Source organism: Homo sapiens, chromosome 2 (assembly GCF_000001405.40).
Source record: "Homo sapiens chromosome 2, GRCh38.p14 Primary Assembly".
Lineage (NCBI taxonomy): Eukaryota > Metazoa > Chordata > Mammalia > Primates > Hominidae > Homo > Homo sapiens.
In genome coordinates, this window is record NC_000002.12 from 6,646,060 (window position 1) to 6,655,526 (window position 9,467).

General features: G+C 43.7%; 1 long non-coding RNA gene and 1 other non-coding gene across 2 annotated transcripts; one reads left to right on the forward strand and one right to left on the reverse strand.

Annotated features, from left to right (window-relative positions):
* Positions 1–3,047: 3,047 nt before the first annotated feature.
* On the reverse strand, positions 3,048–4,460 carry LINC03156 (long intergenic non-protein coding RNA 3156). The gene is made up of 2 exons (NR_110497.1): positions 4,047–4,460; positions 3,048–3,322 (listed from the first exon to the last, which is right to left on the reverse strand). It is a non-coding gene; the product is annotated as a long intergenic non-protein coding RNA 3156 (long non-coding RNA).
* Positions 4,314–4,380, forward strand: MIR7515 (microRNA 7515). The gene has a single exon (NR_106986.1). It is a non-coding gene; the product is annotated as a microRNA 7515 (primary transcript).
* Positions 4,461–9,467: the final 5,007 nt, after the last annotated feature.

The following is a 9,467-nucleotide window of genomic DNA, read 5'->3' on the forward strand; positions in this document are numbered from 1 at the left end:
CACCATGACTGTAAGTTTTCTGAGACCTCCCCAGCCATGCTGAACTGTCGGTCAATTAAACCTTTTTCATTTATAAATTACCCAGTCTCGAGTATGTCTTTATTAGCAGAGTGAGAATGAACTAATACAGCTGCTTTCATTGTTATCCACCTGCAAGGACAGCAAAAGGAATTTCCCCAACAATCAGAGAGAATCTACAGTCTTTGGGATAGGCCACGTGCCTAGGTGTTGAGAGAGTTTTCTATACAGCTGTCTGCACAGCTCCAGCCTATTCCAAGACTAAACCCCTCATCTTATCAGGACTCTTGTTGTTGAAAAAGCTGATTCCTCTTTGCTTCATCTCAGGCTCCTACTCCTAGATGGCCATCCCCTCTCTGGGACTCCATCTCTTCCAGCCAGGCTTCCCAAATGCTGGCTGCTAACACATGGACTCCTGTTCCCCTTTTCCTGCCTTTCACCTGCCCACAGCTGGCTGACCACAACATGCTCTGGGGATTGCTGTGCTCCCTCTCACTGTGTAAAGCAAGGGCTTGCTACACCCCCATTTCAATCACTTTGAGCAGCAGACACCACGGTTTCTTTCTTTGATTTCTGCCTTGCAGAAACCATGCTATCTGGTTTAATCTTCTCAACAAAATTTTTGAGATTAGTAGTGTTTTTTCCATTGTAGAGATATGAAACAGAATTTAGAAAAGTAGGAGACTTGTCTAGAACCACAAATTCTGTAAAGAGCAGACACAGAATTTGAACCAACTGTATCTGTTAAGCCCGTGTTGTGCCTGCAGTGGCGAGATGCAGTACACATGATCTACCCTCCAGTGTCTAGCATCCTCCAGTAGTCACTGCTGACTCCTGACCCTTAGAGGGAGACTCCAGAGAAAGCACTTTGTACACAACAGACCCCCCAAGCATGCTGGCCTAAGGAGCTCTCTCAGGTGGCCTATGTCAAGTTCAAAAAAGGAGAAAAGCAAAGACAAGAAACAGTTGCTATGAAATATCTCCCTTTGGTTTCTAACGACATGTCTATTAGCAATCATCCTGGTAGTAATTGATCATAAAATCCAATTGTTGGCTGGCCCCATGCACCTCATATCATAATGACAACACTGGGAAAATGACCAACAGCGTACTTCTGCCAGCCCTGTAAATCCATTCTGTATTTCCAGAGTAAGAACATCCCATAAAAGGCGGGAACTGTAAAAGCTCATGAGGAAGAAATAAACATGTAACAATAGAACACAGATGGACAGTTGTGCTGGGAAGCAGCTGCACAGGGAAAGAAGAGAATTGAGCTCTCGGGTTGTTTTTGGAAGAGCCGAGTACACATCTTGAACTTCCACGCCTGTCTCCAACCCAGGTCTGAGATGGTGTCTTATGTTTCCCAGGGGTTTAAAAATGCAGTGAGAAAAGACTTGGCATATATCTTAGCAACCATGTGGGCTTGGGAACCAGGCAAAGTTGCAGCTCTGCACTTACCAGCTGATGCACCTTGCTCAAGTCACCACCCCTTCCTGTGTCTCAGTTTTCTGGTCTGTAAACTGGTTGTGATACTTCATTATGGTGAAACCTCATTAGGCAGTACTGTCGATGCTGCACAGATCTTTGTCACTGAAAAGTTGCATGTATCCTATAACTGTCACTTTACTTATGCCATGCAACAACCTAAAGAAAGGAAGAAAACGTCTAGCAGCAGAACCGCGACTTTCTAGTACCCAGAGCTGGCGCAGGGGAGGTCAGAGCCAGATGGGGGGCATGGCTCATCCTGGCCCCAGAATCCAGTCTTGGGGAAGCATGTAAACAGGGAGGCTGCAGAAAGACACTATCTGTGCAAGCGGGCAGTGTACCTGTGTCCACAGCACAGGCAGCACGTGAGAGCAGAGCCCCCCAAAAAGAGCGCTGCCCATGGAGGGCTGTGAGCAGATGGACTCTAATGACACCATCCCGTTTCCAAGGTTGAACCCTATGGGAGGACAGACTCTTGCAGCCCATAAAGATCAAGTCATCTGACCAATAAATAAATAAATAAATAAAAGGGAAAAAAAAAAAAACCAAGATGGAAACCTAGATCCACAACGGGAAAGTGACTTGTGCAGGGAACCTGTGGTGCCCAGTGTGGGTGGCAACTCTTCCCTCATCCATGCAGCTTGGCCCTACCTTGATCATCGTCCTTTTTAGCATGAATTTATCAATTGCCCAGTATTTTCAATGGACTATAGAGGGTACAGAGAAAAGAAAAGTGAGAAATGGCATCTATATTCAAAAGATGCTGCAGAGACAGCTCCCCACGCCCAGCCTGCCTTGAGAAAAAGAAGCCACAAGAAAACTCATGCTTACAGCACAGACTAGGTGTTGAAGGCAGGTGGTGCAGAAACTTAGGAGGAGCGGCACTGAAGACTAAGGAGGTCCAGAGACCATAGAAAAGTTATTGGGAGAAGGAAGGACTTGAGCCGGTATTTGAGGAACATTGTTAAGGTCTAGACTGACAGATTAAGGGAGGAAGATCACCTCGGACAAACAGCCGACAGGAGTCTCTGCCCCTTGGAAGCAGCTCTAGCAGGCTGTTGTGTAATGGAAATGCTGACTTTCACTTATACAGTACATTTCTATAAAATTATCAATACGAGAAGCTGTCTAAAAAGGAGTGAGGTATTTTTTCATCAGTGAAGAGGCTGGTTGCATGTGCTATTTCTTCCTAGAAAGCAGGAACTGGGTCCAGAATTGGTCTGGCTTCAGAAAACAAAAAAGCCGTTGCCAAGTCTAGGGTTTGTACAGCTCTCCAGTGGAGTTATGAAAAGCCCGGTTAGAACATAAAGAACGGTCTGTTCTGTGGGAGGCAATACAGCTTCACCGAGGGGAGAGGGAAAGTAAGCCTGTATCAGTCATATTTCCATCCCTGGGAGACCATTAGGAGAAATTCAATTAAAACCCATGACTTCTACCAAATCTCTATGGCCAGTTTGAAGAGACTAATTCTTAGAAAAAGCTGACTCCAGCATTATCTGTCTTTAGCTGAGCTGTTATGAAAAGAATATAAGAGTAACAAAAAAAATGGTATGTGCTTTTATTAAAACAAAACATAACAACAACATAATGCTGTTGCAGAAACTTGGAGATGCTGCAAATGTAGGTCTGTTCTGCTTGTTGGCTTTACCTCTCTCTCGTTCCTTCCTTCTTCCTCCTCATTCTTCATCTTTCTTCCTCATTCTAAGCAGAACATTTACAAAATTCAGGCTTTCTGTAGGGTGAAGAGCTGAGCTTCAGTTCTTCTCTGGGGCAGAATATTAGCAAGGACAGTGAGCTTAGTTTTGACTGATTCTGGCATCTTCACAAAGCAAAAACCAAAGTATTGACGTAAGAAAACTGGATTGGGAGTTGGGAAAGGTTATGACTTAATGATAAAGGAATTAAAGAGACACATTGGCATTATTTTTTTCTCCTGACACCTGCACAATGCCAAAAGATAAATCAGAACAGAAAACATTAAAATTGGAAAGGAACTTAGAGACCACCTAGTCAAGGGATGACAGATTCCACAGCCAGTACCATCTCTAAGGTATTGGCATTGATAATCGCTTCTCTCTGGAACTTTGTGTTGAGTAGGATTCTGAGGCTCAAGTTAAACTCACCAGGATTGACTCTTCTGATCAGAGAGCAATGCCTAGTCTTAGAGAACAGAAGAGGCAGGGTCCGCATCTGGTATTAGCATTCTTTATTTAGTTCAACAAAGTCACATGGAGACAATATGTTACATCCTGACTTTAAACATTAGTTCAGAGAAGAAAAGTTGCTGAGATCCCTGCTGCAGTTATCCACGACTACATAACAAACCACTACCAAACTTTGCGTCCTAACAACAGTGATTTATTATTTTGCACAGCCTTGTGGATAATGAGCTTAGGGTGCAGGTTGGGGAGACTGGTGGTTCTCACATGATAACTCAGAGCTCCCAAGAAAGCAAATGTGGAAGCATCTAGACCTCTTAAGGCCCTGTCTAGAATTGTCTGGGCAGCATTTTCATCACATTCCACTGGTAAAGGTGTTCTTACCTTGTATGTGCCTGCAGGGATGAGAGAATTTTGGCCATCTTTGCAGATAATCCACCACAGTCCCTCCATGCTGCCTTCATGCAGCAGGTAGGTGAGTACTCCACAGGCTTTGCCACCCAGAACAGGGAAGCCAAACTGTCAATCTCAAGTCCCTAATCTGTGACCTGCTTATAATTCTTACTCCACAGTTATCATGGTGAAGACCAACGAGATGATGAACATGTAGCACATATCTGTATCACGAGAATTCCACGAGAAGAGCTCAAACTTTTATCATTTCATTTATGCCTGTTAGCATGAAAAAAGAGGCTGAGAAGGGAAGATGGTGACAAGGAATTGCTAAGCAGCAGGTCACATGGGTCACCCAGCGTGGACCGGCCTGAACACAGCTTCCATGTCCCCACTCTTGCCAATGTTCTCATGTGGACACAGCTGGCTTTGTTACATCAGAATGAAGGCCTCCCTTATGATGGCTCAGTGTTTCCATAGAAATGTCCAAGGAACATGATTATAGAGTCAGTCCATTCATTAACACAGAGGGTTAGGGGTTGGGAAAATCATCTAATCCAACAGCCTTATTTTGAAAATGAAGTTTCCAAGCCCTAGACGTTCATGGAAGCTCATGAAAGGCTCCTAATCACAGTGCCCTTTCCGCGGTAACATGGGCTCCTTATTTAGTTCCATTCAGAAAACCTGAAGAGAGGCCTCCCTGGCCAACGGTAGTGGGGATTAGAAGCAGTCCGTTTCTGTTAATATTTATATTCTATTTTAATAAAGCCTGGCTTCTTACAATCAAGTGCAACCTAATTTGTCCAGAGCCGACACTCCCGAGTGTACAGAATCCCCATTTGATTTTGCTGTTTGGAACGTTATCCACTCAATGGTTTCTCTAAACAACAGTGAAAGTCCCCATCCACCATGAACCTGCAGAGCATAACTGGATATTTTCTGGCCAGTTGGCTCATTGCCTACAGCAGAAATCTTCAAGCAGAAGCTACTGAAACAAGGACACTAATTTGCTAAGCCAGGAAGTTTTTCAAAGTCCATGATCCAGAAACACCAAAAATAGAAAAACCAACACAAAAATAAACAAATAGAAAAGTGGCCCATGCCTGTAATCCCAGCACTTTGTGAAGCCAAGGTGGGTAGATCACCTGAGGTCAGGAGTTTGAGGCTAGCTTGGTCAACATGGTGAAACCCTGTCTCTACTAAAAATATTTAAAAAATTAGCCAGGCGTGGTGGCGGGTGCCTGTAATCCCAGATACTCAGGAGACTGAGGCAGGAGAATTTCTCAAACCCGGGAGGCAGAGGTTGCAATGAGCCCAGATGGTGCCACTGCACGCCAGCCTGGGCATCAAGAGCGAGACTCCATCTCAAAAAAAAAAAAAAAAAAAAAAAAAGCCAGAGATTTTCTTAGATAAGTATGTGGAAGGATCCCAACATCTAAATGTTTCTACATCATGAGATGAAAGGAAATTAATGATGATCTCTTTTTTTTTCTTTTTTTTTTTTTTTCCAGATGAAGTCTTGCTCTTGTTCCCCAGGCTGGAGTGCAATGCTGCCATCTCGGCTCACCACAACCTCCGCCTCCTGGGTTCAAGCAATTCTCCTACCTCAGCCTCCCGAGTAGCTGGGATTACAGGTGTCCGCCACCACGCCCAGCTAATTTTTGTATTTTTAGTAGAGACAGGGTTTCATCTTGTTGGCCAGGCTGGTCTCGAACTCCTGACCTCAGGTGATCTGCCCGCCTCGGCCTCCCAAAGTGCTAGGATTACAGGTGTGAGCCACCGTGCCCAGCTGATGATCTCTTTATAGTAATTTCTGACATACGTATATCTTCAGGGTTGACATACAGATTATGCTTTTCATTCACACAACTTTCAGGTTAAGTCTGACTGGTGTTACTACCCACACACCATAGAGGAGGAAAGGTAGGCTCAAAAAAACTGACTTGCCCAAAACAAGTTAGATGGTGGGACACAAGATAGAAAGTGGGGAAGTCAAGACTGAAGCACCCACCTCCTGGCTCCATCACAGCCATGTGTGCTGATATCTGGGCAGCTAAACGTAGAGTGCTGGAGCCCACATGGGGTGTATGGCTGGGGAATTTTAGCTTTACTCTCATTTCTAGCATCTATGTTGGAAAAGCATTTTGTGTTTTATGCTTTTATTGTATATTCAGCCAGTCAAGAGTCATAGTCTATTTCATTCAGGCTTATGCCACTCACTAATGTCAGTAGAAGCCTATTCGTTTCTTAGAAATTGTAGTGGAAGATGTAGAAAGTACACTTGTCAAATTTGGGCATGATTCATCTGTGAGAGGAACCTTGTGCATGCAAACTCAGTAACAGCGTTCACAAAAATCTGGACAGGCTTGAAAGACAGGCTGAAAATAACATTGCAGCAGGAGGAAATGTAATGGTATGAACCTGAATTCAGAAGGCAACTGCCTAAAGGTGGACTAAATAGGTTTAATAGAAATTGCTTTAAAAACAACCAGGAAGGATGGTTAGCATTAGTTAGCTTTGCAGTCTGCATGAGCTTATGGTATGAAGGGTGAGTCAGAAGGTTATAGCCCCTTAAGCCACAGTAAGAGAGTTTGGGTGTTCTGAATGAGGGGGACACATCTGCTTTCTCACTGTTGGATGCAGCAGCGCTTTTGACTCATTTGTGCAGAAGAAAGCCCTGGGAACTGAGCTGTATTTGAAGAATGAACGAAGGATCTGTTAACATTTAGCCCAAAGAAGAAAGGATACATTAGATAAGACTGAATGGATGTTTTCAGATCATGGAAACATTTCCAACCTAGACAGTCAACTGATGAAGGACTCGGGAGCCAGGTACTCAAGCAAGTGGAGGAGGCCCCCACGCTGGGCATATAAGTCGAGTAATTCAGGGTCCTGAGCTCACGGACAAGCTACAACGCCGCTCCCAACTCCTGACTCCAAAATCAGAACCCATGACTCTCTGAAAGAGATATCATGGAAGCAATTGAGAAGGTAATTGGTTTCAGAAAGTTTCAAAAAGCAAAGCACAACAACTAAACAGTGCTGATTGAAATTAGCTGAGCACATACACATGTTTCAACCCAGAAAAGCAATTCCACTTTAAGTACTTCATGTCAGTAAAGCACTACCTCTGATCTGGTAAAATAACACTCCTGATATCCCATGACTCCATGCGTGACTACATTTTGCATTCCTTGCACAGACAGATTTTCATACTGACTAGACAGGGATTATGAGCTGTGTGTCAACTCCTTGCCGTTGAATTGGTTTCTGCATTTCTGTGGAACATACTCTAAAATTCATGAGATTGGAGATGCTCTCTGTACAGGCTCATGTAGGCAGTGACAGACACCCTTAATTTGTAAGCATTAGCAGAATGAGATGCAGTTGCAGAAAGTGTAATTGGATCATCTTTGTATCTTATGTCAGCGTGTCTAAGTACTGCTAAAGAATGCACCACGTGCTCGGCGCCTCCGACAACACAGAGGGGTTGTTGTAGGCATGACAAATAATAGCAGAATCAGCTTCTTACTGTTATATTTGGAGTGTGGTGTGTGTGTATGTGTGTGTGTGAGAGAGAGAGGTAGAGCATGCACACTGGCTTTTCCAAGGCACTAGTCATTAAGTAGGAGAGCTTTAAGATCTGCGGAGAAGCATAATGGCTTTCAAACCTTTCTGACATTAAAATGTTCTATAATCACCTTCCATTAGTAAAACCAGAAAAAGCCTGGCTTTGGTATAAAGCACAAAATTCATTTGCCTTCCTCCCCCAGCCCTTCATGTCCTTGTGCCTAAAATATTCCAGGCTGTTGAGCTTTCAAGAGAAGAAATCAGTGTACTTTTTCTGTCCTAGAAAAAAAGGCCCAGGTTTTATGACTGACCGTGTTTGGAAGACAGATACATTTTTTACAATTAAGTTACATAATTAAGACTAAAGGAAAAGGAAACCAACCCCACCTTCCCAGCTCACTTTATATGTAAGAAAATTGGGTCCATTCTTTCTTGCTTATGCCAAAATGCACCTAGAATTCAAATTCAGTTCTGACCACCAGATGGTAAGGGAAAATTAAACAGGCTAGCATTTGAGAGACAGCTTATAGATCTGGAGACATTTAGCATGGATGAAAAAAACAGAAGCTAGAAACAATAGCAGTCTTCATGGACCTAGGAGATCACCCAATAGAGAAGAGGATGGGCTAGTTCTCTGTGGTTTTAAAGAACAGACGGAGAGCCAATAGATATTGTTTTCAGGAAAGCATATCCTCGCTAAACATCCTCTTGCTCAAAGTTCTTGAAAGTCTTTCCATTAAATAACACTGGTTCCCTGTTGCCAGCCCCAGGATATTCTCTCTGGAAAAAAAAAATAGTGATCAAACCGGTTTGGTATGGTTGCAAAACATATCTCCTTGCTTTAGAGATTACAACATGCATATTTAAAGATGTAGGAAGATGCTAAGCAACTATATAGTAAAGCAAACAATTAGACTTTATTTAACCCGGTGTTTTTCAACTGCTCCTATAACCTTGTTGACACCTTTCTATCAATATTTCTTTGATCTCGTGTTATAATAAACACACTTTTGGACACTTTGAATTACAGGAAAAGAGCCAGAATTCTTTATTCTGGTATTTGAAATTCCAGAAGCTCCAGTCCTGACCTTCTGAACATGATTTCTTGCAATGTTCTGTGATTCCCAACTTTCATAGCTTGTTGTTCACCTGCCCTCCACCTGGAATCATGGCACATTAGGCTGCACCTTGATAGCTCCACAGGCACCAACCCAATGCCATTTCTTCACTCAACCAACAAGTATTGTGCATTTAATTCTTAGGCTCAGAGAGGCTAGGTAATTTCCCCAGGTTCACATAATTAGCTTGGGGTTTGTCTAACCCCAACATCCAAGAAGTTTCCAGTGTGCCTGTCTCCCCACGAAGGAGGGGTGGGCTTCAAAGGCCCACATCATCACCAGTTGCCTCCCACACAGGGCCATGTAGAAGGTACTCACTGTGGGCTTTCTTAAATAGTCGAGCCTCCTGAAGTTTCCAGAGTACAGTCCAGAGTCGAGTACAGGCCCGGCAGCATGTAATGGAAGCTGAATGTGTTCATCCACCTGCTACAGAGATGTAGTCCTTATAGTAGAACACCACAAGTCCTGCGGACCTTGAAGAAGTCAACTGCCATGCTACAAGTGGCCTAGGAAATGGGCCACCTGGAAGGGGGCTGTAAGCAACCCTAGCATCTCAGCCCCTGCACCTCAGAACTGCAGCCTCAGTTTCTCCTTTTACAGGTAAGGAAATGATACCCAGAATGCTTCAGTCATTTGAGTAGCATTGCCATACTTATAGGTAACTGAGTAAGAGAACCAGACTCCTGAGCTCCAATAACTCCAACATCATGCAGAGATAGGAAGG